Genomic DNA, 27,012 nt, shown 5'->3' with positions numbered 1-27,012 from the left:
AGGCAGGCGGATCACTTGAGGTCAGGAGTTCGAGACCAACCTGGTCAACATGGTGAAACCCCGTCTTTACTAAAAATACAAAAATTAGCCAGGCATGGTGGCGCATGCCTGTAGTCCCAGCTACTCGGGAGGCCGAGGCAGGAGAATCGCTTGAACCTGGGAGATGGAGGTTGCAGTGAGCTGAGATTGCACAACAGCACTCCAGCCTGGGTGACAGAGTGAGATCCTGTTTCAAAAAAAGAAAGAGAGAGAGAAAGAGAGAGAGAGAGGAAGGAAGGAAGGAAAGAAGGAAGGAAGGAAGGAAAAGCAAGCTGCATAGATATGGAGGGGTCAATCAAAGATAATCTTAAAAAACAATAAAAACAATTACATGCAAAAATTATTTATGGTAAAGAGTCAGAACAGATATGGAGGATTGGTTATTAAGGGAGAAGGGACACGAGGGAGCCTTCAAGAATGCTGGAAACTTTCCATAACTTAATCTTAGTAGATACATTGGTTAAAAAAAAAATTCACTTAAGCACTTTATTGTTTGTACATCACAACTGAAAAAAATACACACAAATGGTTGCCAGATTATGATATAGAAAGTACTTCTGTAGGCCAGGCACAGTGGCTCTCGCCTGTAATCCCAGCACTTTGGGTGGCAGAGGCAGGTGGATTACTTGAGGTCAGGAGTTTGAGACCAGCTTGACCAACACGGTGAAACACCATCGCTACCACAAAAAAAAAAAATTAGCCAGGCATGGCGGTGTGTGCCTGTAGTTCCAGCTACTTGGGAGGCTGAGGCAGGAGAATTGCTTGAACGTGGGAGGCAGAGGTTGCAGTAAGCTGAGATCCTACCATTGCACTCCAGCCTGGACAACAGAGTGAGATTCTGTCTCAAAAAAACAGTAAAAAGAAGGCCGGGCGCGGTGGCTCACGCCTGTAATCCCAGCACTTTGGGAGGCCGAGGCGGGCGGATCACGAAGTCAGGAGATCGAGACCATCCCGGCTAAAACGGTGAAACCCCGTCTCTACTAAAAATACAAAAAATTAGCCGGGCGTAGTGGCGGGCGCCTGTAGTCCCAGCTACTTGGGAGGCTGAGGCAGGAGAATGGCGTGAACCCGGAAGGCGGAGCTTGCAGTGAGCCGAGATCCCGCCACTGCACTCCAGCCTGGGCGACAGAGCGAGACTCCGTCTCAAAAAAAAAAAAAAAAAAAAACAGTAAAAAGAAAGTACTTCTGTAGGTTTGTAGAAGTAAAAAATCAGATATTACATAAGGAGATAAGTCTTATACCAATATGTAAGGGGAACTGAAATGGGAGAGAAAAAGACAGCCTTTTAAGTAAAGTAGAATTAAGATAATAGTACTAGCTGGCCGAGTGCAGTGGCTCACACCTGTAATCACAGCACTTGGGGAGGCCAAGGCGGGTGGATCACCTGAGGTCAGGAGTTCAAGACCAGTCTGGCCAACATGGTGAAACCCCGTCTCTACTAAAAAAAATACGTTAGCCAGGCGTGGTGGTGGGCGCCTGTAATTCTAGCTACTTGGGAAGCTGAGGCAGGAGAATCGCTTGAACCCAGGAGGCAGAGGTTGCAGCAGTGAGCCGAGATCACGCCACTGCACTCCAGCCTGGGCGACAGAGCAAGACTCCATCTCAAACAAAAAAAAAAACCAAAAAAAAAAAAAACAAAAAACCCTAGCTAACACATATGTAACACAATATGCCAGGTACTATTCTAAGATCTATACATATAGGCCAGTTGTGGTGGCTCGCGCCTGTTATCCCAGCACTTTGGGAGGCCGAGGCGGGCGGATCACCTGAGGTCAGGGGTTCAAGACCAGCCTGGCTAACATAGTGAAACCCCGTTTCTGCTAAAAATACAAAAAAATTAGCCAGGCGTGGTGGTGCATGCCTGTAATCCCAGCTACTCGGGAGTGTGAGGAAGGAGAATCGCTTGAACCTGGGAGGCAGAGGTTGTGGTGAGCCAAGATCATGCCATTGTGCTCCAGCTTAGGCAACAAGAGCGAAACTCCGTCTCAAAAAACAAAAACAAAACTAAGAGCTATACATGTAACAATGCATCTAATCCTTTTAACACTATGTGGAAAGTATTATTATTCCCATTTTACAGACAATGAACTGAGGCCCAGAGATTAAGTGCTTTGCCCGCTCACACAGCAATGAGAACATCCATGACGATAAACTTTTTCACCACTTTACACCACATACATATCCGTGAATACATAACAGAACAAAAACAAACTAAAAATAGCAACAATAATAAGACTAGAACAAAACAGGGACTAAAATGATACTTTTACAGATAGAGTGCTTCCAACAGCAATAGCCCTTTTCCCCATCCTATAAATTCAATGTCAGCATCCCCACCTGACTTTAAACCTCACTGAGCAAATATATCATCTGCACAATCATCCTTACATCCCCTACTCCTAAAATAAGGCTACACACACACATACACCCTCTCACAAGAATGTTACAGATACTTGGAAAAGAGAACAAAGAATGAAACACATTTCAAAAGAAGAAATCCCACGACTTCATAACCTATTGTGTGAATATAGGTGAGAAAAGAGATTAAACAAATCAAAAATAATCCCAAAGTTTCTAATTTAGAAGACTTAGGGTTAGTAGAAATAAAAATACACGTCCATAGGCTGGGTGCGGTGGCTCACGCCTGTAATCCCAGCACTTTGGGAGGCTGAGGCGGGGGGATCACAAGGTCAGGAAATCGAGACCATCCTGACTAACATGGTGAAACCCCATCTCTACTAAAAATACAAAAAATTAGCCAGATATGGTGCGGACGCCTGTAGTCCCAGCTACTCGAGAGGCTGAGGCAGGAGAATGGCATGAACCTGGGAGGCGGAGCTTGCAGTGAGCCGAGATTTCACCACTGCACTCCAGCCTGGGCAACAGAGTGAGACTCCATCTCAAAAAAAAAAAAAAAAAAATATATATATATATATATATATATATGTCCATAAAAAGGCTTATATACAAATATTGCTAGCAATCTTATTCATAATAGCCAAAAACTGGAAATAATTCAATTATCAATCAACAGGTGAACATAAACAGTGATATATCCAAACACTGGACTATTACTAAGCAATAAAAAGAAATGAACTAATGAAACACGCAACATAGATAAATATCACAGCTATTATGCCAAGAGAAAGAAGCAAAACACAAAATTTCATACTGTATAATTCCATTTCTATGAAACTCTAGAAAAGACTAATCTCATATACAGCAATAGAAATCACATCAGAGGCCTGGTGTGATGGCTCATGCCTGTAATCCCAGCATCTTGGGAGGCTGAGGCGGGTGGACTGCCTGAGTTCAGGAGTTCGAGACCAGCCTGGGCAATACAGTGAAACCCCGTCTCTACTAAAATACAAAAAATTAGCCAGGCGTGGTGGCATGCACCTGTAATCCCAGCTACTTGGGAGGCTGAGGCAGGAGAATTGCTTGAACCCAGGAGGTGGAGGTTGCAGTGAGCGAAGACTGTGCCACTGCATTCCAGCCTAGGTGACACAGTGAGACTCCATCTCCAAAAAAATAAAAAAAAAAGAAAGAAATCACATCAGCGGCTGCACAGGAATAAGACTGAAAAGAGACTGCAAAGGGGCCTAGGAAATTTTGGGGGGAAGTAAAAATTACTCTATTATTAAAGTGATTGTTACAGCCACTGATCTGTACATTAAAAATTTGTGAAATTATTGCAAATAAATTAAAGCTTGGTAAAATTGATTGAAAAAACGTTATGGGCCAGGCGCAGTGGCTCATGCCTGTAATCTCAACAGTTTGGGAGGCCAAAGCAAGCGGATCACTCGAGGTCAGGAGTTTGAGACCTGCCTGGGCAACACGGCGAAACCCCATCTCTAAAAAATTAGCCAGGTGTGGTGGCACACTCCTGTAGTCCCATCTACTTGGGAGGCTGAGGTGAGAGGATAGCTTGAGCCCCGGAGGCAGACGTTGGGGTGTGCTGAGATTGCGCCACTGCACTCCAGCCCTGGGGGACACAGCAAGATCCTGTGTCTCAAAAAAAAAAAAAAAAAACCTTATGGCCAGGTGCAGTGGCACACACCTGTAATACCACCACTTTGGGAGGCTGAGGCAGGAGTATCACTTGAGCTCAGGAGTTTGAGACCAGCCTAGGCAATATGGCAAGGCTAGGGAAGGATCAAGTCTGACTCATTTCTGTATCCTGGCACAGAATCTAGAAAATCTCTACAAAAAATCAAAACATTGGTCAGGAATGAATGGCAGCATGCTCCTGCAGTTCCAGCTATTTGGGAGGCTGAGGCAAGAGGATCACTTAAGCCCAAGAGTTCGAGGCTGCAGCGCATGCCACTGCACTCCAGCAGCCTGGGTGACAGAGCCAGACTCTGCCTCAGAAACAAAACTAAACAAAACATGTTATTAACATTGAAATAGGTAGGTAAATAAGGAGAAACTTTTGCAAAAGATTAAGAAGATGAGTTCAATTTAGATATGTTCACCCCAACGTGTCTTCAAAAAGAGTAAGATACCTCAGTTGGGCATTGTGGCTCATGCCTGTAATCCCAGCACTTTGGGAGGCCAAGGCAGGCGGACTGCTTGAGCCCAGGAGTTCGAGACCAGCCTGGGGAACATGACGAAACCCCATCTCTACAAAAAATAAAAAAATTAGCCAGGTGTAATGGTGGGCACCTGTAGTCCCAGGTACTAGGGAGGCTGAGGGGGGAGGATCACCTGAACTTGGGGAGGTCAAGGTTGCAGTGAGCCATGATTGTGCCCCTGCACTCCAGCCTGGGTGACAGAGTGAGACTCTGTCTCAAAAAAATATAAAAATAAAAAAAGATTATCTCCGTCAGGCAATTGGGTATAAAGGATGGAGTTAGGGAGGCAGCAGGAAGAGAGGGAGACAGAGAAGAGCATTGTGTTGAGAGACACCTACTGTTAAAAGCAGTAAGAAAGAACAACCAGTAAAATACAAATTTTAAGAAGGAAGACAGTCAGACATGGTGTCTCATGCCTGTAATCCCAGCACTTTGGGAGGCCAAAGCAGGAGAGTGGCTTAAGGCCAGGAGTTCAAGACCAGCCTACACAACACAGCAAGTCCCCATTCCTGTATGTGCCTATAGTCAGTCCTAGTTCCTCAGGAGGCTAAGATGGGAAGATCACTTGAGCCCAGGAGTTCAAGACTGAAGTGAGCTATGATGGCACCACTACCCTCCTGCCTGGGCAAAAGAGCAAGACCCTGTATCTAAAAAAAGAAAGAACTGTAAGAGGTACTAGGAATGTTCTCTATCTTGTTCTTTGTGATGGTTACATGAACATACACATCTGTAAAAATTCAACAGGCTTACACTTCATATTTATGCACTTTGCTGCATTAATTATACCTCAAACAGTTTTAAAAAAAGAAAAATGGCTAAGCATGGTAGCTCACACCTGTAATGCCAGTACTTTGGGAGGCCGAGGTGTGAGGATCACTTTAGCCCGGGAGTTCAAGACCAGCCTAGGCAACATGGAGAAACCCTGTCACTACAAAAATTAGCTGGCCATGGTGGTGTATGCCAGTAGTCTCCCAGCTGCTTAGTTGGGGGGGTGGGTAGTGCACTCCTGTGGTCTCAGCTGCTTGGGAACCTGAGGTGGGAGGACTGCTTGGGCCAGGGAGGTCAAGCAAGGCTACAGTGAGCCGTGATTGTGCCATTGCACTTCAGTCTGGGCAAAACAGTGAGATCCAGTCTCAAAAAAGAAAAAAGAAAAGAAAAAAGATATGGCCCAAAAGTACCTTTTCAGCTTCATTTTACCAAATACCCATCCCAAATCACATAAATAACCTATAGCCACATATGATCAGTAATCACCCTCTTCAATATTGATCATTCATGCTCTCAGGTATATAATACCCTTTGTACTTTTATTTTTTTTTCAAGACCCATATAAAATCTCACTCCCTCAGGAGTCACTACTCCTAAACACCCCTTAACTCTACCTGTATAACAGTTAAATAAATGGTTCTCAATCAGGTGATTTTGCTCCCTAGGGGACATTTGGTAATACCTGAAACATTTTTTGATCATCACAACCAGGGGTGACGCTACTGGCATCTAATGGGTAAAAGCCAGTGATGCTGCAAAATATGCTATAATGCATAGCACAGATCCCCCCAACAATGAATTATCCTACCCAAAATGTCAATACTACCACGGTTGGGAAACCCTGCACTACACTATTGTATGTATTTACTTGCAAGCCTGTATCCCTACTAAACTACAAAATGGGAGGGATCAAGTCTTACTGATTTCTGTATACTGGCACAGTATCTACAAAATAACACACCAAAAAAATGTATTAATAAATACAGATGTGTCATTACTGAACCTATTTTAATAACCACACTGCCTAGAATGCTGCACTCAAAAAATATAAGAAATACGTATGTCATTGCTGAATCTTACTTTGATATGAAAGCTACATAACTTACTGGCTAAACTGGTTGTCTTTTTTTTTCTGAGATGGAGTCTCACTCTGTCTCACAGGCTGGAGTAGAGAGGTTCGATGTCGGCTCACTGCAAACTCCGCCTCCCAGGTTCAAGCAATTCTCCTACCTCTGCCTCCCGAGTAGCTGGGATTACAGGCGAGAGCCACCACACCCAGCTAATTTTTGCATTTTTAGTAGAGACGGGGTTTCACCATATTGGCCAGGCTGGTCTCAAACTCCTGACCTCAGGTGATCCGCCCACCTCGGCCTCCCAAAATGCTGGGATTACAGGCATGAGCCACCACTCCTGGCCTAAACTTGTGGTCTTTAAAAGCAAATTCCATCAATCACTATCTTGACTTGGTGTTTTCATAGTACATACCAACAAATTACAAATTATAACTATGTGAATATCTCAAAAGAGTATTAAACTGAAATTTATTTCCAAATTTACTGCAGCATGAGTAAACCAACTGGCTTAATGACTGTGCTCTGAAAGCATTTTTAAAAGGACACTGTTTCAGCAGGGCAAGGTGGCTCACGCCTGTAATCCCAGCACTCTGGGAGGCCAAGGCGGGTGTATCACCTGAGGTCACGAGTTTGAGACTAGCCTGACCAACATGGTGAAACCCCATCTCTACTAAAAATATATATATACAAAAATAAGCTGGGCCTGGTGGCACATGCCTGTAATCTCAGCTACTTGGGAGGCTGAGGCAGGAGAATCACTTGAACCTGGGAGGTGGAGGTTGCGGTGAGCCGAGATCATGCCATTGCGCTCCAGCCTGGGCAACAAGAGCAAAACTCCATCTCAAAACAAAGGACACTGTTTCAAAAATTTTTTGAACTCATATCATAGTGCCATTTGAATAAAATAGAGTAAAATAATGGATACTAAAATCTTGGCTATCATTCCACCTAACTTGAATCTAATAAAATTTATGTTAAAATACAGAATGGTAGTGTATTTTAACATATTGTCAAAAAATTAAACAGTTTTTACTTACCTATTTATTTATTTAGACACAGGGTCTCACTGTTGCCCAAGCTGGAATGCAGTAGCACAACCATGGCTCACTGTAACTCCATCCTCCTAGGTTCCAGCAATCCTCCTGCCTCAGCCTCCTGAGTAGCTGGGACCACAGGCACATGCCACCGTACTTGGCTAATTTTTTATTTTTAGTAGAGATGAGGCCTTACTATGTTGCCAGGCTGGTCTTGAGTTCCTGGGCTCAAGCGATCCCCTTGTCTCAGTCTCCCAAAGTGCTGGGATTACAGGCGGAAGATATCATGCCTAGCCAAAAGTTTTTATATCATAGTTATTTTACTTATTTTAGCAAATATTTCAGGCCAGGTGTGGTGGCTCATGCCTGTAATCCTGACACCTTGGGAGATTGAGCTGGGTGGATCACTTGAGTCCAGCAATCCAAGACCAGCCTGGGCAACACGGTGAAGCCGTCTCTACTAAAAATACAAAAAATTCGCTGGGTGTGGTAGCACAGGGCTGTAGTCCTAGCTACTTGTGGGGCTGAGGCAGGAGGATCACTTGAGCCCAGGAGGTCAAGACTGCAGTGAGCTGTGATCCTACCACTGCACTCCAGTCTGGAGTCCTACAACAGGTTCTTAAAAGAGTAAGACCCTGTCTCAAAAACAAAACAAAACAAAACAAAATCCCCCCCCACACACACACAGAAATATTTCATATCTCAACACTGTTTTATTTTTTACATGCCCAGCCAACTTTTTTATTCTTGATTAAAGATTAATGGCATTATTTTATAGAACTAGACATTCACACATAAAACACAAAAATACTTTTTCACTACCTAAGCTGAAGATAAAATGATCTTTTAATTACTCCATTTTCAAATTATTTGTACTTTTCTAGAGAATTAAAAAATCATTATCACTAATAACGACATGTCAAAGTAAAGAATCTAGGCCAGGCATGGTGGCTCACACCTGTAATCCCAGCACTTTGGGAGGCTGACGTATGAGGACTGCTTCGGTGTAAGAGGTCAGGGCTGCAGTGAGCTGTGATTGTGCCACTACACTCCAGCCTGGGTGACAGAGCAAGACCCTGTCTGAAAAGAAACACAAAAAACAAAAAAGAATCTGAAAGTGAGCACATTATATTGCCCCTCTGGGACTCAAAACTCTAATTCCAGTAAATAAAACCAACTGAAATACCATACTCCTATCAAGTAATGAGCCCTATAAAACATCATCATCATCTACCATTTATGCAGCAGGAGATTACTTAAATACTATATATTAAATAAAACAACATATACTATACAAAGTTTCTGTACAACAAGGAAGAGCAAAGTTTCCTTATCAAGTACAATCAAGGATATGGATGGTTTTGGCAAAAAGACAAAGCTTTTCCAATTTTCAGTAACCCTAAATTCCCCAAGTCTAAAAACGGAAAAACCTTGACCTTGTTTAGTAATGCTGTTCATCAACCTTTTCTGAAACCTCTTTCTCAGCCTCAATGGGAATAAATTGTAACAAATCAATCCAAAATACAAACTAGAGGTTTGTAACTACTACCATGAGTGAATTAAAAACATCAACTAAAACATAAATATTATGGTTAGATGTAACACATTGCAGCACACTGATTTTTTTTTTTTTTTTTTTTTTTTTGAGACAAAATCTTGCCCTGTCACCCAGGCTGGAGTGCAATGGCACAATCTTGGCTCACTGCAACCTCCACCTCCCAGGTTGAAGCAGTTCTCCTGCCTCAGGCTCCCTAGTAGCTGGGATTGCAGGTGCCCGCCACCATGCACGGCTAATTTTGTTTTTTTTTTTTTGAGACTAAGTTTTGCTCTGTCTTGATCTCTTGACCTTGTGATCTGCCCACTTCGGCCTCCCAAAGTGCTGGGCTTACAGGCGTAAGCCACTGCGCCGGGCCTAATTTTTTTGTATTTTTAGTAGAGACAGGGTTTCAGCATGTTGGCCAGGCTGGTTTTGAACTCGTGACCTCAAGTGATCCACCCACCTCGGCCTCCCAAAGTGCTAGGATTAAAGACATGACCCATCACGTCTGGCCTGGCATTTTTAAAATATACTTAATATACTTAATTAGTCACATAATAATTTTATGAACAGACGTATTTCAATTAAATCAAATCTATATATGTCCCCAAATAAAATAAAAATAAAAGATATTTTCTTAATATCCTCCAAATAAAAAGTTTTCAACCAGGCATGGTGGCTCACACCTGTAATCCCAGCACTTTCGGAGGCTGAGGCAGGCAGATTGCTTGAGCTCAGGAGTTCGAGACCAGCTTGGGCAATGTGACAAAACCTAATCTCTACAAAAAATACAAAAGAATTAGTCAGGTATGGTGGCGCATGACTGTAGTCTCAGCTACTTGGTAGGCTGAGGTAAAAGGATCACCTGAGCCCGGGAAGTAGAGGCACAGTGAGCCATCATTGTGTGCCACTGGACTCTAGCATAGGGAAGGGGACTGAGACCGTCTTAAAAAAATTAAATAGAAAGTCTTCTTTTTTTAAAATTCTGCAATTCATGAGAAACTGCACTCACACATAGTGTGTGACATTAGATATCTGATAACACGTTCCTTAATACAAAAACCTCAGAAGTTACCATGATTATCCAAAACTACTGGTACCCTGCCCAGGACCTTTTAGGCAAAGTCCTTGCTATCTCCTAAGCTTTGAAACCTAGGAAAGGTAAATATACCCAATATAACGACTAAATAGACTACAGATGAATCAGTAGAGATTGAAGGAGAGTTGTTGAAAGAAAAAGGAAAAAGCAAACTAAAACAAGCATACTTCAGAGACAGAAGATTAGAAGTAAAAGGGATGAGGTAAAAAAAGAAATTTTAGTTCAGGCACAGTGGCTCACGCTTATAATTCTAGCACTTTGGGAGGCCAAGGTGGGCAGATCACCTGAGGCCAGGAGTCAAGACCAGCCTGGCCAACATGGCGAAACCCCGTCTCAAACAAAAAGAACAAAAAGTACAAAAATTAGCCAGGCGTGGTGGCACAGCTACTCAGGAGGCTGAGGTGGGAGGATTGCTTGAGCCCAAGAGGCAGAGGTTTCAGCAAGCCATGATCACCCCACTGCACTCCAGCCTCCCAACAGAGTAAAACCCTGTCTCAAAAAAAAAAAGAGAAGAAAAAGAAAGTGATATGGTTTGGCTCTGTGTCCCTACCCAAATCTCATGTTAAATTGTAATCTCCAAAGTTGGGGGAGGGACCTGGTGGAAATGATTGGATCATTGGGGTGGATTTCCCCCTTGCTGTTCTAGTTGATAGTGAGTTCTCAAGAGCTACTGTTGTTGGAAAGTGGAAAGTTTGTAGCACTTCCCCCTTCACTCGCTTGCGTGTCCACACACATGCACACTCTCCCTCTCTCTCCTGCCAACCATGGGAAAATATGCCCACTTCCACTTCCGCTATGATTGTAAGTTTTCTGAAGCCTCCCCAGATGCAGATGCCTGTATAGCCCACAGAACCGTGAGCACATTAAACCTATTTTCTTTATAAATTACCCAGTCTCAGGTATGTCTTTATAACAGTGTAACTGGGTACCCAGAACATATAAAAATGTGGCAAACTGCTGAGCACAATAGCTTACACCTGTAATACCAGCACTTTGGGAGGCCAAGGCAAGAGGATAACTTAAGATCAGGAATTTGAGACCATCCTGGGCAACATAGCAAGACCCTGTCTGCACAAAAAAATTTTTTCAAAAATTAGCCGGGTGTGGTGGTGCACACCTGTAGTCGCAGTTACTCAGGAGGCTGAGGTGGGAGGATCACTTGAGCCAGGAGGTGGAGGCCGCAGTGAACTATGATCACACCACTGCGTTCCAGCCTGGGCAACAGAGCAAGACCCTGGCATCAAAAAAAAAAAAAAAAAAAAAAAGAGGCAAACAAAAGTTTCCCATAATAATGTTTACCCTTACTTTATGCACCACACTGACACTCCCCATTACTTTTTAAAATTGTTATTGTGACTCACTAAATTGAATTTACAAGCCATTAATGGATCACAAACTAAAGTTTGAAAGCACTGGCTTAGAGGAACTAAAAATTATGGGAAAGTCCTTGCTTTCCTATGATTATCTAGCTTGAGAAAACTATTCAGAAGGTGGAATTCTCCCAGGGCTGAAATACTGTCTTATCTGGCACATAATAATCACTTAAAGTTTGTTGAATTAATACATTTTGGAACGTAAGGCACTTTCAAGGTAAGGACATACCTACAAAAGATACCTAAATAAAAATGCGTAGAAGAGCATGGGTACTCTGAATCCCTTCAAAGACAGGGATGGTAAAAAGAGCTCCAGGAGGTAGAAGAGGGATACCAAATTTTTCTTAAATAAACAAAGTAAGTACTGGAAAAGAAATGTCATTTGTTGTTTTTTTTTTTTTTTTTTGAGACGGAGTTTTGCTCTTGTCTCCCAGGCTGGAGTGCAATGGCGCGATCTCGGCTCATTGCAACCTCTGCCTGGTTCAAGTGATTCTCCTGCCTCAGCCTCCCAAGTAGCTGGGATTACAGGCGCCCACTACCACACCCAGCTAATTTTTGTGTTTTTAGTAAAGACGGGGTTTCACCACTTTGGCCAGGATGGTCTTGAACTCCTGACCTCAAGCAATCCACCCACCTCGGCCTCCCAAAGTGCTGAGATTACAGGCCTGAGCCACCACGCCCGGCCTGAAATGTCATTTCTTAAGACAGGCTTTATATCCAGCAAAGGAAAAAGAAAACCTGTGATAAATTAAAAACTCCCATCAGAGGTGGGCACAGTGGCTCCTGTGTATAATCTCACCACTTTGGGAGAACAAGGCAGAAGGATCACTTAAACTCAGAAGATCAAGACCAACCTGGGCAACATAGTGAGATCTCGTCTGTACTAAAAATAAAAAAAAATTAGCCAGGTGTGGTGGTGCACGCCTGTAGTCCTAGCTGCTGAGGTGGCTGAGGTGAGAGGATCGCTAAGTCCAGAAGATTGAGGCTGTAGTGAACTTTGATCTCACCACTGCACTCCAGCCTGAGTGACAGAGCGAGAATCTATCCCAAAGAAAGAAAAAAACTCCCATTAAGTACTACACAGTAGTCCATTATAGGTGCAAAAAGTTACTAAGCTACCTTGATATTCTAACTATTTCTTTCAAAAATGTATGTCAGACTCCAGATATATAAATCCAATATCACCAGGCGCAGTGGCTCACGCCTGTAATCCCAGCACTTTGGGAGGCCAAGGCGGGCAGATCACGAGGTCAGGAGATCAAGACCATCCTGGCTAACACGGTGAAACCCCGTCTCTAATAAAAATACAAAAATTTAGCCAGGCATAGTGGCGGGCGCCTGTAGTCCCAGCTACTTGGGAGGCTGAGGCAGGAGAATGGCATGAACAGGGCAGGCAGAGGTTGCAGCGAGCCGAGATTGTGCCACTGCACTCCATCCTGGGCAACAGAGCGAGACTCCGTCTCAAAATAAATAAATAAAAATAAATCCAATATCAAATCAAAATTATATAATGCAACTCATCCTTAAATATTAGACTCTCCCCAGCACTTTGGGAGGCTGAGGCAGGTGGAACCACTTGAGCTCAGGAGTTCGATACCAGACCAGGCAACATGGCAAAACCCCATCTCCACAAAAAATACAAAAATTAGCCAGGCAGTGGCATTTGCCTGTAGTCCTAGCTACTTGGAGGGCAAAGGTGGGTGGATCACTTGAGCCTGGGAGGTCAAGGCTGCAGGCAGCCGAGATCGTGCCACTGCACTCCAGTCTGGGTGACAGGAGTGAGACCCTGTCTCAAAAAAAAAAAAAAAAAAATTATCTCAATGTACTCATAAACATTTATATTAGGCAGCTAGTGTGTGATAGCCAACAATTTATTGAGTGTTAGCATGTATCAGGCAGTAAGTTAAGTACTTAGCAAGCATTATCCTATTTAAACAACCCAGTATATACTATCTTCACATTAACGGGTGTGGTGGCTCATGCCCGCCTGTAATCCCAGCACTTTGGGAGGCCAAGGTGGGTGGATCACCTGAGGTCAGGAGTTCAAGACCAGCCTGGCCAACATGGTGAAACCCTGTCTCTACTAAAAAAACAAAAACATTAGCCAGGCATGGTGGCACATGCCTATAATCCCAGCTACCCGGGAGGCTGAGGCAGGAGAATCACTTGAACCTGGGAGGCTGAGGTTGCAGTTAGCCGAGATCACGCCATTGCACTCCAGCCTGGGCAACAAGAGCAAAACTCCATCTCTAAAAAAGAAAAGAAAAGAGAAAAGAAAAGAAAAGAAAAGAAGCCTGGCGCAGTGGTTCACATCTGTAATCCCAACACTTTGGGAGGCCAAGGCAGGCGATCACCTGAGGTCACGAGTTCATGACCAGCCTGACCAACATGGAGAAACCCCGTCTCTACTAAAAATACAAAAAATTAGCTGGGCATGGTGGCGCATACCTGTAATCCCAGCTGTTGGGAGGCTGAGGCAGGAGAATCGCTTGAACCTGGGAGGCAGGGGTTGCAGTGAGCGAGATCATGCCATTGCACTCCAGCCTGGGCAACAAGAGCAAAATTCCGTCTCAAAAAAAAAGAAAAGAAAAGGTGAGGCATAAATAGTTAAATAAAGAAGTTACCACAGGCCTGGTACTGTGGCTCATGCCTGTAATCCCAGCTCTTTGGGATGCTGAGGAGGGAGGACTGCCTGAGCCCCCATGAGTTTGAGACCAGATTGGGCAACATAGAGACCCCGTTTCTCGAAAAAAACTTTAAAATAAGCCAAGTATGGTGGCATAGGCCTGCAGTCTCAGCTACTCACGGCTTCGGCCCTGAAGGTAGAGGCTGCTATGGGCCATGACTGTGCCACTGCACTCCCACCTGGGTGACACAGCAAGACCCCATCTCAAAAAAACAAAAACTGAAAAAGTTACACATTTACACTAGTAAATGGTGACATACATATATATATATACACATATATATACATGTATATACATATATACATACATGAATATACATATATACACACGAATATACATGTATACATATATACATACGTGTATATATACGTGTATATATGTATATACATACATGTATATTCATGTATGCATACATGAATATACATGTATACATGTATACATGTATCATACATGAATATACATATATACATGTATACATGTATATATATATATATATTTTTTTGGGGGGGGACGGAATCTCACTCTGTTGCCCAGGCTGGAGTGCAATGGCACGATCTCGGCTCACTGCAACCTCCGCCTGCTGAGTTCAAGCAACTCTCCTGCCTCAACTTCCTGAGTAGCTGAGACTACAGGTGCGCGCCACCATGCCCGGCTAATTTTTTGTATTTTTAGTAGAGACAGGGTTTCACCATGCTGGCCAGGCTGGTCTCGAACTCCTGACCTTGTGTTCTGCCCACCTTGGCCTCCCAAAGTGCTGAGATTACAGGCGTGAGCCACGGCACCCAGCCATTTTTTAACTTTTTTATTATTTTCTTGAGACAGAGTCTCACTCTGTCACCCAGGCTGGAATGCAGTGGCACGATCTTGGCTCACTGCAACCACTGCCTCCCAGGTTCAAATGATTCTCCTGCCTCAGCCTCCCGAGTAGCTGGGACTACAGACAAGTGCCACCACGCCCGGCTAATTTTTGTATTTTTAGTAGAGACGAGGTTTCGCCACGTTGGCCAGGCTCGTCTGCAACTCCTGACCTCAGGTGATCCACCCGCCTCAGCCTCCCAAAGTGCTGGGATTACAGGCGTGAGCCACCATGCCCAGCCCTTTTTTTTTTTTTTTTTTTTTGAGACAGAGTTGTACTCTGTTGCCCAGCTAGAGTGCAGTGGCACAATCTCAGCTCACTGCAACCACTACCTCCCAAGTTCCAGCGATTCTCCTGCCTCAGCCTCCCAAGTAGCTGGGATTACAGGCACACGCCACCACGCCCAGCTAATTTTTTGTATTTTTAGTAGAGACGGGTTTCCTCCACATTGGCCAGGCTGGTCTTGAACTCCTGACCTAAAGTGATCTACGGTCTCCCAAAGTGCTAGGATTACAGGCGTGAGCCACCACGCCCAGCCAACATTAATATATAGTAAGTGCCAATTTTATTATTGGTAGCTGCAAACCAGAAAGTTTTGTTCCATCCTATTATTTGATAATATTTCTCAGAAACTAAACTTTGAATGTCTTTCTAAATGTTACAGTAATTCATCTACTTCTAAACCTGCATAAAACTATTTGATCAAATAATTTTATCAAAAGGAAAAATTAGCCCCTTCTCAGCTTTAAAGATAAATTAGACGGTAATTAAGTGCCATTATATTTAAATAACAACCTACAGCATAACGGTCACTGGCATTTTTAGGAGGCTGCAGTATATCTATTATGCAAGGCACTTAATAATTTATACTTTTACTTACTTTATTTACATGCCAGGTACTTAACATTTTAAAAACTCTTCCAACTTTTATAGGATACTTAATTTTGTCATCAAAAAGGTATAGCCTTAGACTGTATTTTAGAACAAAAAGTCTGCTTCTGGCACAAATAGACTGATACAGAAATAACTGTTACCATATGATGACAGAAACGTCCCAGCTGAAAATAATTGCTGCTAGTCCCTCCACACAACTTTTTAATTCATGTAGATTTTTAGAAGGTATGAGACATCTTTAATGAAATTAAACATCAATTTTTATTACTAAAAACTAAAATACTTTAAGAATGGAATGAACTAATACAGGTTGTATCCTCTCATATTTTATAATAGGAAAACCTGAAGAATAATTTTTAAAATCCAACCATTAATAGTAAGTACGGAAATCGGGCCGGGTGCAGTGGCTCATGTCTGTAATCTCAGCACTTTGGGAGGCCAAGGCAGGTAGATAGCTGGAGCTGAGGAGTTCAAGACCAGCCTGGGCAACATGGCAAAACCCCATCTCTACAAAAAAAAAAAAAAAAAAAAAAAATTAGCCAGACGTGGTGGCATGTACCTGTAGTGCCAGCTACTTGGGAGGTTGATGTGGGAAGAGCACTTGAACCCGGGAGGCTGAGGCTGCAATACGCTGTGATCACGCTATTGCATTCCAACCTGGGCGACACAGCAAAAACCCTGTCTCAAATTCAAAAAAAAAAAAAAAAAAAAAAGTACACATACCTAAAGGCAGGTGAGCATATGTTGGTACTCTGCTTAATGAACATCTCAATTTTATGCGAAACTTTACTAGAGAAATAAAACTTTTTTATTTGTTTCGTTTTGTTTTGAGATGGAGTCTTGTTCTGCCGCCCAGGCTGTCAGGCAGTGGCGCCATCTCAACTCACTGTAACCTCCACCTCCTGGGTTCAAGTGATTCTCCTGCCTCAGCCTCCCCAGTAGCTGGGGTTACAGGCACCCACCACCATGCCTAGCTAATTTGTTTTATTTTTGTAGAGACAGGGTCTCTCTTTGTTGGCCAGGCTGGTTTCGAACTCTTGACCTCAGGTGATCCGCCCACCTTGGCCTCCCAAAGTGCTGGAATTACAGGCTTGAGCCACCACACAGGCTTTTGTTTTTAGACAGTCTCACTCTGTCACCCAGGCTAGAGTGCGGTGGCATGATCACAACTCACTGCAGCCTCCATCTTCTGGGCTCAAGCAATCCTCCCACCTCAGCCTGCCAGGTAGTTAGAACAAGCACGCACCATCACGCCCCACTAATATTTTCATTTTTTATCTTTTGGAGACAGGGTCTCACTATGTTGCCCAGGCTGGCCTCAAACTCCTAGGCTCAAGTGATCCTCCAGCCTCAGCCCCCAGCATGCTGGGATTATAGGCATAAACCACCATGCCTAGCCCATGCTAATTAAAAAAAAAATTTGTTTTTGTAGAGACAGGGTCATGCTATGTTGCCCAGGCTGCTCTTGAACTCCTGGCCTCAAGCAATCCTCCCACCTCAGCCTCCCAAAGCGCTGGCATTACAGGCCTGAGCCACTTTGCCCAGCCCAGAAATAACACTTTTTTGAAGGGATTCGTTCACATATGATCCTCATCCAAACAGCAACCCTCAACTAATATGTACCAAAAATGCTCCTCATTTCTAAAAGATTAAATTAGTATGAGTGCAATTAATTGTTATAAGTAACAGAGACTAGTGAAAACAAAACAGAGATACAAATGAAAAATTAAGTGATTTTAATATACAAATAAGCCAAATGCAAAACACAGACTTTATTTCCAGGTGAAAGACACGAAAGACAGATTGATCTCAACTCTAATTTCAATGCCAACAACTGACCCCTAGATATCTTCTGGATTTACTAAATATTCATGTCTATTAAGAACTGGCAAATTTGCCGGGCACGGTGGCTCAAGCCTGTAATCCCAGCACTCTGGGAGGCTGAGGCGGGCAGATCACAAGGTCAGGAGATCGAGACCATCCTGGCTAACACAGTGAAACCCCGTCTCTACTAAAAATACAAAAAATTAGCTGGGCTTGGTGGCAGGCGCCTGTAGTCCCAGCTACTCAGGAGGCTGAGGCAGGAGACTGGCGTAAACCCAGGAGGTGGAACTTGCAGTGAGCCGAGATCGTGCCACTGCACTCCAGCCTGGGCGACAGAGCAAGACTCCGTCTCAAAAAAAAAAAAAAAAAAAAAAAAAAAAAAAAACTGGCAAATTATTAAAATAAATCATACTCATGGTTAGTTATGAGCATCCAGTCTTTCTAGTATCCTGTAACTAAAGAGTTGCTTTCTTACTGTTAAAATGGCATCGTAACATGGGCCCAAATATCATGTATACACCTTGTTATACAGAAAGTTTATTTTATATCAACACCCATTCAATTACTTGCCATATCCTCACTTCTCCCAAAATCGACATTATAAAAAATACGATAATTATTTTCTATTCAGTGCCCTCATACTTCTGATTCTGTACATTGCTGTACTTCTTTAAAACCTCTCAGAGTTTAAATTTGTTTGCAATACTATCCTTTAGTTTGGAAGCAATGTTTTGTTACTGTCAAGATAATCTTAAACTATTAAAAGCCTTTAAATCCAGCTGATTCTCAGAAATTCTTCCACCTATAAAACATGAGAATTATAACCAAATTAACAAATCAGATATCAGAATGCCAAAAATTAAGTCATTAAAAGAGAATCCAGTGAAAGAGCCAGTTGTGAAAGAACAGGAAGTGATGTACACTGCCATTTTGTAGATGAACTATTTAGAAACATAAGAAGTGCCATACTAATCTAGAATCAACTCAGACTAACAGCTCTCAGCATTTTCTTTCTGACAGTGGCATCAGAGGTCATCTGAAATAACCCTCAGGCAATTTTTCCTTAATAATGTATTTATCTAATTGATCATGAACATACTTTTCCACTTTTAGGCAACATTCCTACCAGCTATGAAAAAAGAGAGTTGTTTTTTTTTCAGTTGTCCTTAGTTATAGCATGCTGAAATATAGCAAGTAAATAGTTAACCTACACCCTATGTAAATCCTTTAAGTTTTGTAGCCTCTATTGATAAATCCTCTCTGCCTACAACTTCCCAAGGTAAAAGCAGTCACTCCTTACTGAGCAGTATGCTTCGATCAACACATGCTAGTATATATGAAATAATTATCAACAACAAGCCATAATACGGAGAATCAGACTTCCTGGCATAATTTGCCATAATGGAGAAAACTCTACATATCAACAACATGCAGCTTTGTCCCATGAAATAAATACTCAAATGAATAGTGTTATTTCAATGAATTGAGATGACCATTAAAAGGGAATAAAGAAAAGAGAATTCCATCTTCTGAGAAAAAAAAATAAAACTTATTTAACATACCATGTCTCCTACATCAAAATCATGATATAAAATGACAGAAACTAAGTTAGTGCCTAGCGCTACTACTAACACCTTTAAATCCCTATCTTAAAACAGGTTTCAAAATGCAACAAACACACCAAAAAAGCTCTATTGGACAACATTTAATGACAACATAAAATGTAGATGGCATTTGAAGTATTTAAAAATAAGTCACTAAGTAGAGCTGAAAACACTAAATACACCAAAGACAACTCATTATCTGTACACATTTTAGTCTTCTTCTTCACTTTGGGAAAAAATTAATTCTATTAATAGTCATATGTGGAATATTTTGAAATCACATCACCAGTATTTACTAAACACTTGAAAAAAATGTATCATCAGTACATGGAGACTTGAAAACTACTCTTTGGTCACAAAAAGCACTTGGCAGCACATTTCCAGAATGTTTAAATTTTTATTTCTACTCAACTAAGAACAAAACCAACAAGTACTACTGTAAACCAGATAAGATGATCTGCTTTCAGACAAACATGACAGGTAGCAAAAGAAGTGAAAAATGACTGACTACAGAAAATAGATCATAGAATAATTAGGCAGATTAATAAGAACAAAGAAACAGCTGCAGAAAGGTTTGTAACCTTACCATTTTAAAAAAAATCCAATTTCAATATTATACACAACAGTATCAACCCTAAAAATTCACAGCTTAGGGAGAAATGCCCTGAATCAGACAGGCTGTCTGTATGTAATAATTGTTAATAATTTTTTTTTTTGAAACGGAGTCTCGCTCTGTCGCCCAGGTTGGAGTGCAGTGGCACCATCTCGCCTCACTGCAACCTCCGCCTCCCGGGTTCAAGCGATTCTCCTCCCTCAGCCTCCCGAGTAGCTGGGACTACAGGCGCGTGCCACCATGCCCAGCTAATTTTTTGTATTTTTAGCAGAGACGGGGTTTCACCGTGTTAGCCAGGATGGTCTCGATCTCCTGACTTCGTGATCCGCCCGCCTTGGCCTCCCAAAGTGCTGGGATTACAGGCGTGAGCCACCGCGCCAGGCCAATAATTCTTCATGAACTACAAAAGTCATAGAAAAAGAAAAGGGAAATGAGGATGAGGAGGTACAAAATTATTTTATTTGAATTCTAACTAAAATCCAACCTGCTCACAAAAAATGTCAATCCAGACATCTCTCAAAAAGAGAGACATCAAAACTGTTCTAACAGGAGAGGTGTCCCTCTCGAGAGGCCATATCCCCCAACAATAACACCAGAACAGATACACTTCCCATGGACAGATCTCAGGGGAAGAGTATTAAAACGATACTGTCGTCGATTTAAAACCAAAGGAAAAAGAGTAACCTTTTCAAGGGAAGCGCCATTACTTCCCTCTCCTGCTCCCCCTCCCTTCTGTGTATACATGGGTCTGTGTATGAAGAAACTGCCTTGGACTTCTGCAGCATTGCAGTAGACTAGAGGATGGGGAAGGGGGAAGGGTACGGGGAGAGAAACGCTTCCATCGCCCCTACAGAAGAGGGGTATAGATTTCCTGTGCTAGGGGGTGGAATCCACCCAGCAAGCCACCCAGAGCAGTCTCCCTTCCCAAGAATACACAGACACTACAAAGGAGAAGAGGAGCAAAGGCACCAGAGGGGAAGGGGACCTCGCGCCTTTAAACCGGGGTGCACATCAACCCAGTCTCCCTGTGAGGGCCACACCTTCCTCGAAACATCCCCCTTCCACCACCCCTTCCGGTGACCCTCAGGAAAAAGGAATGGAATTGCTCTCGCCCCTTAAAACCGGAGGGCGCCCAGCTCACCAGCTTCTTCACCCCACCCACAGAATCACAGACCCTCCTTTTCTCCCTCCCCCACCCCACTCCCACATCCCTTCTTCCACACACAGGCCCGAGTGGGCCGAATTTCCCCGCCCCCCTCTATATCCCCCTTTCCCAAAGCAGAGGTGCCCTTACCCTTTCGCCGACAGGTCTGGGGCGGAGCAGGCAGGCGCAGCCCCCTGCAGCGCTCCGGTAGCCGCTACCCTGGAGGGTGAGGAGTGAGGAGGAGGAGGGGGCCCGGCGACAGATCGCCGCCCCCCACCCCCGAGCCCCAGCAAGCCGCCCAGCCCAAGCTCTGCAACAAGGGGCGGCGGCGGCGGGGGGTGGGGGGGGGGGCGAGGGGACGACCGGGGTCGAGGAGGCGCCCTCAGCGCTTGGGCTCAGTTAAGATGGCGCGGGGAAGTGCCGGGAGCCGTCTCCGTCGCCGCCTCGGGGGAACCGGCCCGGGCCTCGGCCGCCTCTAGTCCTCACACAGCCGAGGCCCTCTCGGTCCCCCGCCGCGGCCCCTCGGCGGGCGGGCCCACGCGCAGCCCTCCGCCACCAACACCACCCCTGGTAAGGAGGCGCTCACAAAGGGAAGAGAGGCCGCGGGCCGGCCGGCGGACGGCGGGGCGGGGTCCCCCGGGGCCGGGAGGCCTCAGATGTTCGCGAGTGCCTAGTGCTTTCGGCCCGCGAAGGGCGCAGGGCGAGCGGGACCCCTCCTCTCTCCTCAGGCAGGCGGCGGCACCGACTCAGTCTCTTTGCCACCCTCCCTCTCTCTCCCCGAGCCCTGAAGCCACAGAGCCCGGCCGCTGCCCAGCTTCCCCCCCTTTACCCGACACCACTCCCCTCCTCCAGACCGTCATCCCCCGTCTCCGATCTCGCGAGATTTTCCGCCTGACAGGCCGGACCCTGCGCGAGACACGACTACATGCGCGCGCGCGCGCCCTCACAGGAGCGCGCAAGGCTTGCTACGGGCAGAGTTGTCCCGGTGGCCCGGAGTTCCAGCCTCTGTCCAGCATGGCCTCACTGAGTTCGCGGAGCTTCTAATGCCACGCGGGCGTCAGGTGCATTCATTTCACCCCGGAGATCTGAAGAAGAAGAGTTTATCTGCATTCCCCTTCCTTCCTGCTTCCCACCTCCAAAGCCCGCCACTGATCCTGCGAATAAGTTTGCCCTGAAGTGTGGAATATCCCATTCCTGCACAACTCGGTTCTACACCCCCTCCCCCGTGGGATTCAGAGGTACACTGGGCAGCGCAATCAGTATGCAGTTGAGTTTTTGAGATTCTAATAGTTGATACTAATTCTTGGAACGACAGTAAGACTTGGAAATACAGATCTAAGCCACCCTATATATTGGTGATGTAGAAAAGAGATAACTTCTTGAAAAGTGTCTGTGGGTTTAGTAGGTTGAGTAATGAGAAGTTTTGGAACAAGAGCAGCAAACAAACTAAAGACTCCTATGCAAAGAAGAAGTAGAGTTTTTATTCTTTTATCTCAAAACTTTTTTTTTTTTTTTTAGGGAAAACTCCCTCAGTACTTATTCAAGAACCTAAAAGTGTAAGGCCGGGCGCGGTGGCTCACGCCTGTAATCCCAGCACTTTGGGAGGCCGAGGCGGGCGGATCACGAGGTCAGGAGATCGAGAGCATCCTGGCTAACACGGTGAAACCCCGTCTCTATTAAAAGATAGAAAAAAATTAGCCGGGCGTGGTGGTGGGCGCCTGTAGTCCCAGCTAGCTACTCGGGAGGCTGAGGCAGGAGAATGGCGTGAACCCGGGAGGCGGAGGTTGCAGTGAGCCGAGATTGCGCCACTGCACTCCAGCCTGGGCGACAGAATGAGACTCGTCTCAAAAAAAAAAAAAAAAAAGAGAGAACCTAAAAGTGTACACAAAGTGTAGTCATAAAAAATCTTGGTTCTTTAACCAACAAAACGACTGAAATAAATAAACCTGTTATATGAGTTTCATGAATAAAAATTAACTCTGGGCCGGGCCCGGTGGCTCACGCCTGTAATTATAGCACTTTGGGAGGCTGAGACGGGCGGATCACCTGAGGTCAGGAGTTCGAGACCAGGCTGGCCATAGTAGATCTGTGCTCCAAGGAAGGAGCATGTTGATCAGACCTAAGCAATCCGTGTATACAGTGTATGTATGACCTTCCTCTAGTCTGGCTCAGGGATGGGCACATGATCCAATTAGAGCCAATGGGTACAATAAGATTTTCTCTGGCTTTTTGGGAAAGAAACTTTCTTATTTTCTCCCAAAAATGTAATATATATATTGAACTCCCAAAATGGAATCCAGTGGTGTGATCCTGGCTCACTGCAACCTCTGCCTCCCAGGATCAAATGATTCTGCTACCTCAGTCTCCCAAGTAACCGGAACTACAGGCATATGCCACCGTGCTGGCTAAGTTTTGTATTTTTTGTAGAGATGGGTTTCGCCATGTTGCCCAGGCTGGTCTTGAACTCCTGGCCTCAAAGGATCCACCTGCTTCGGCCTCCCAAAGTACTAAGATTACAGATGTGAGCCACCGTGCCCAGCCTATGATTTTTCAATGAGCAATAATCACACCTCGGATAAATCTCATTGGCTACAATACTGCCACTGCACAAAGTTTCTGAAATTTGATGATGATGATAACAAAAATAGTGAAATAGTTAACACGTATTGAGTGCTGATTATATGCCAGAGAGAGTTCTAAACACTCTACTTATTTACTCCTCACAATAACCATATTGGGTGGGTATAATTATTATTCCCTTTTAGAAATGGTGGAACTGGGCCTGGCACGGTGGCTCATGCCTGTAATCCCAGCACTTTGGGAGGCTGAGGTGGGCAGATTACCTGAGGTCAGGAGTTCGAGACCAGCCTGGCCAACATCGTGAAAAAAATTAGCCGGGCATGGTGGTACACGCCTGTAATCCCAGCTACTCAGGAGGCTGAGGCAAGAGAATTGCTTGAGCCCAGGAGACAGAGGTTGCAGTGAGAGGAGATTGTGCCACTGCACTCCAGCCTGGCCAACAGAACGAGACTCTGTCAAAAAGAAAGAAAGAGAGAGAGAGAGAAAGAAAGAAAGAGTGGCACTGAGGCACAGAGAAGAATTTTGATTAACTTGTCAAAGTTCTTATAGCCAGTTTGTGGTGAAGCCAGTTGTCAAACTCAGCTTTCATCCAGAACCACTGTGTTCTTTTTTTTCTTTTTTTCTTTTTTTTGAGACAGAGTCTCACTCTGTCGCCCAGGCTGGAGTGCCATGGCGCGATCTCAGCTCACTGCAATCTCTGCCTCCCGGGTTCAAGCAATTCTTCTACCTCAGCCTCCTGAATAGCTGGGACTACAGGCGCGTGTCACTGCGCCCGGCTAATTTTTGTATTTTTAGTAGAGACGGGGGGGGGTTCACCATATTGGCCAGGCTGGTCTCGAACCCCTGATCTCGTGATTCACCCGCCTTGGCCTCCCAAAGTGATGGGATTACAAGCTGAGCCACTGTGCTCGGTCTATATTCTTTTTTTTTTTTTTTTTTGGGACGGAGTCTCGCTCTGTTGCCCAGGCTGGAGTGCAGTGTCACGATCTCAGCTCACTGCAACCTCCACCTCCCGGGTTCAAGCAGTTCTCAGAGCCACTACATTCTATTTCCTTGAGAGAATGTAAGGACTGGAATTGCTATTGCCTTTTGCTGTGAAGCCCCAGAACAAAGGCAACTCAGTGGGAAACACATTCTGGAGATAAAACCAGATCACTGAAGCCCTGGAACTAACTCTGTCTGAAGTCAGTCCTGACCCTGGAGTTTTTAGCATTTGTGTGCTAAAACATTCCCATTTTTCTTAAGCTAACGTTGGGTCTGGTTCTCTTTTGTTTGCAACCAAATAGTCCTCACACAGAACTGTTTATTTTTTGGCCTTTCCCACCAGGCTGTGATCTTCACAAGCATATGAATATTTGTCTTATTTATATCTATGTCCACAAACTTAGCATAATGTACATAATGACATTCAACAAATGTTTGCTATCAGTTCAATAATTCTGCAGACATTTTCTCCTATGTGTCAGAAATTGGGTTAGGTGTGGGAGATGTCAAGAAGAGTGAGTGAATGAAAGCTGTTTGCCTGGAGTGTATGGAAGAATAGCTGCTGCAAATGTTAGTGTGACAGAGAACTCTAGGAAAAGGTGTACACACATGCTAGAGTTCTCTGGAGGTTACTGTCACTTTGGCACTATGTGCCTGGCCGATGGGTATTTCTGGAGTCTTACACATGTCAAATGTTTTCAGGATTGTCTAAGGTTCTAAGAATGTCTAGAAGTCACCTGCTTCCCAAACTGATGTACGTATCGGAGTTATAGCCGGTCCTGTCATGTAAATGATGTGTTTTCTGCTATGCTTCTCTGTGTCTCTTGACTCCCAAAAGCATATACTGTAAAATGAATATGCCCTACCCATGTCTCAGACTTATAGTGAAGATCCTGTCTGGATATGAAAGTTCTGTTGTATCCAGGTGATAGCTGCTTTATTTCACCTGACCACAAGTGCTAATATATTCTACTCTAGCTAGCATCCCCACAAAAAACGTATCAGTTAGCCTCACTAGCAGTTCTATTCCACTTGTAGTGAACATCTGTTATTCTTGTCTGTCCCAAATTTCTCCCTCTTCTTCTGGCAAAAAGTACCCTATGGCCGGGTGTGGTGGTTCACACTTGCAATCCCAGCACTTTGGGAGGCTGAGGTAGGTAGATCACTTGAGCTCAGGAGTTTGAGACCAGCCTGGTCAACATGGGGAAACCCCATCTCTACAAAAATTAGCTGGGTGTGCTGGTGTGCACCTATAGTCCCAGCTACTAGGGAGGCTGAGGTGGGAGGATCACTTGAGTCTGGGAAGTTGAGGCTGCAGTGAGCCCTGTTTACACCACTGCACTCAAGCCTGGGTGACAAAGTGAGACCCTGTCTCAAAAAAAAATTTTTTTAATTACTCTACAGTTCTTAGAGAACTTTCCTGTCTGTTGTTCTGTGGAGTTCTTGTGGGGTTGTTACTCTGGGCCTCTTGCTACAGATGGGCACGCCGTCACAGCGTGGGCAACCAAAATAGCTCACCCCTTGGTGAAGCAACTGGGCCAGGGAAGGGTACATGACCCAGAGCCCAAGCTGGACCACTCAGAGATGTTCATTTGGATTTTATATACTGCTTTGTGAGAGTGAGAAGTTTTGCTTTGCCTTTGGGCTCATAAACTGGGATGATGTAAATCTAGACTTTCTATGGAGTTCCTCCCACACAGACCCCATCTCCCTCATCCAGCATCCCTCTGTTGCATAAAATAAACTACCAAGATGCAAGCTTTCCTCCATATGATCTATGTGAAGCCTGCTTAAATTGCTTATAGAAGCATGTCTATGGTTCATAAGCTCCAAGTTCTGATCTCATCCTCACAAAGTCTCAAATGCCTTCAAATTCTACATTTACAACATTCTAACATTTCTGTGTTGAGTAAATTTATGAAGAGGAGAAATAAAAGGCAAGTTTCATGGTAACCATTTACATGGTGCCATATGATATCCGGGCCAGACCTCTGTCCCTTCTTCGGGGGTTTCTGGGCAGTGAGTAGGAGAGAGCAGGTTATGTAGGAGAGGTTGTTTAAAACCTGAATTTTGAGACACTCACTGTCTCTAGTGGGTATAATACAACATATCAGTAAAGGAAGCATTTGATTTTTTTTTTTTTTTGATACAGAGTCTCACTCTATTGCCCAAGCTGGAGTGCAGTGGCACAATCTCGGCTCACCACAACCTTTGCCTCCTGGGTTCAAACAATTCTCGTGCCTCAGCCTCCTGAGTAGCTGGGATTACAGGCATGCACCACCATGCTGGGCTAATTTTTGTATTTTTAGTAGAGAAGGCGTTTCGCCAT

The 27,012-nt window shown here is 44.4% G+C and overlaps 1 protein-coding gene, 1 non-coding gene and 1 pseudogene across 3 annotated transcripts in view, besides 6 other annotated features; all 3 read right to left on the bottom strand.

Annotated features, from left to right (window-relative positions):
• TAOK1 (TAO kinase 1) overlaps nt 1-21,931 on the bottom strand; it is a 161,541-nt gene extending 139,610 nt beyond the window's left edge. The window contains exon 1 of one of the 2 annotated variants that reach the window (NM_020791.4): nt 21,270-21,931. The gene's annotated coding sequence lies outside the window, so the exon portion shown is untranslated. The remainder of the gene's footprint in view (nt 1-21,269) is intronic. The other variant, NM_025142.1, reaches the window with a different exon arrangement.
• Nucleotides 3,542-4,041: an enhancer, noted in NCBI's record as "H3K27ac hESC enhancer chr17:27735271-27735770 (GRCh37/hg19 assembly coordinates)". NCBI's record gives its function as "activates a minimal SCP1, AML or CMV promoter by ChIP-STARR-seq in naive H9 embryonic stem cells {active_cell/tissue: H9 hESC(naive)}" and the evidence as "EXISTENCE:reporter gene assay evidence [ECO:0000049][PMID:30033119]".
• Nucleotides 10,867-10,936: an enhancer, noted in NCBI's record as "active region_11977". NCBI's record gives its function as "activates an Ori minimal core promoter by ATAC-STARR-seq in GM12878 lymphoblastoid cells {active_cell/tissue: GM12878}" and the evidence as "EXISTENCE:reporter gene assay evidence [ECO:0000049][PMID:35858748]".
• Nucleotides 20,526-20,765: an enhancer, noted in NCBI's record as "active region_11976". NCBI's record gives its function as "activates an Ori minimal core promoter by ATAC-STARR-seq in GM12878 lymphoblastoid cells {active_cell/tissue: GM12878}" and the evidence as "EXISTENCE:reporter gene assay evidence [ECO:0000049][PMID:35858748]".
• Nucleotides 21,416-21,885: a silencer, noted in NCBI's record as "silent region_8372". NCBI's record gives its function as "represses an Ori minimal core promoter by ATAC-STARR-seq in GM12878 lymphoblastoid cells {active_cell/tissue: GM12878}" and the evidence as "EXISTENCE:reporter gene assay evidence [ECO:0000049][PMID:35858748]".
• Nucleotides 21,564-21,632, bottom strand: MIR4523 (microRNA 4523). The gene has a single exon (NR_039749.1). It is a non-coding gene; the product is annotated as a microRNA 4523 (primary transcript).
• Nucleotides 21,926-22,015: an enhancer, noted in NCBI's record as "active region_11975". NCBI's record gives its function as "activates an Ori minimal core promoter by ATAC-STARR-seq in GM12878 lymphoblastoid cells {active_cell/tissue: GM12878}" and the evidence as "EXISTENCE:reporter gene assay evidence [ECO:0000049][PMID:35858748]".
• Nucleotides 22,136-22,375: an enhancer, noted in NCBI's record as "active region_11974". NCBI's record gives its function as "activates an Ori minimal core promoter by ATAC-STARR-seq in GM12878 lymphoblastoid cells {active_cell/tissue: GM12878}" and the evidence as "EXISTENCE:reporter gene assay evidence [ECO:0000049][PMID:35858748]".
• RNU4-34P (RNA, U4 small nuclear 34, pseudogene) lies at nt 23,611-23,734 on the bottom strand (annotated as a pseudogene).

The sequence above is a fragment of the Homo sapiens genome, chromosome 17 (genome assembly GCF_000001405.40).
Source record: "Homo sapiens chromosome 17, GRCh38.p14 Primary Assembly".
In the NCBI taxonomy this organism is placed as follows: domain Eukaryota; kingdom Metazoa; phylum Chordata; class Mammalia; order Primates; family Hominidae; genus Homo; species Homo sapiens.
The sequence above is the reverse complement of the archived record's forward strand: the minus strand, read 5'-3'. Positions and strand labels throughout refer to the sequence as shown.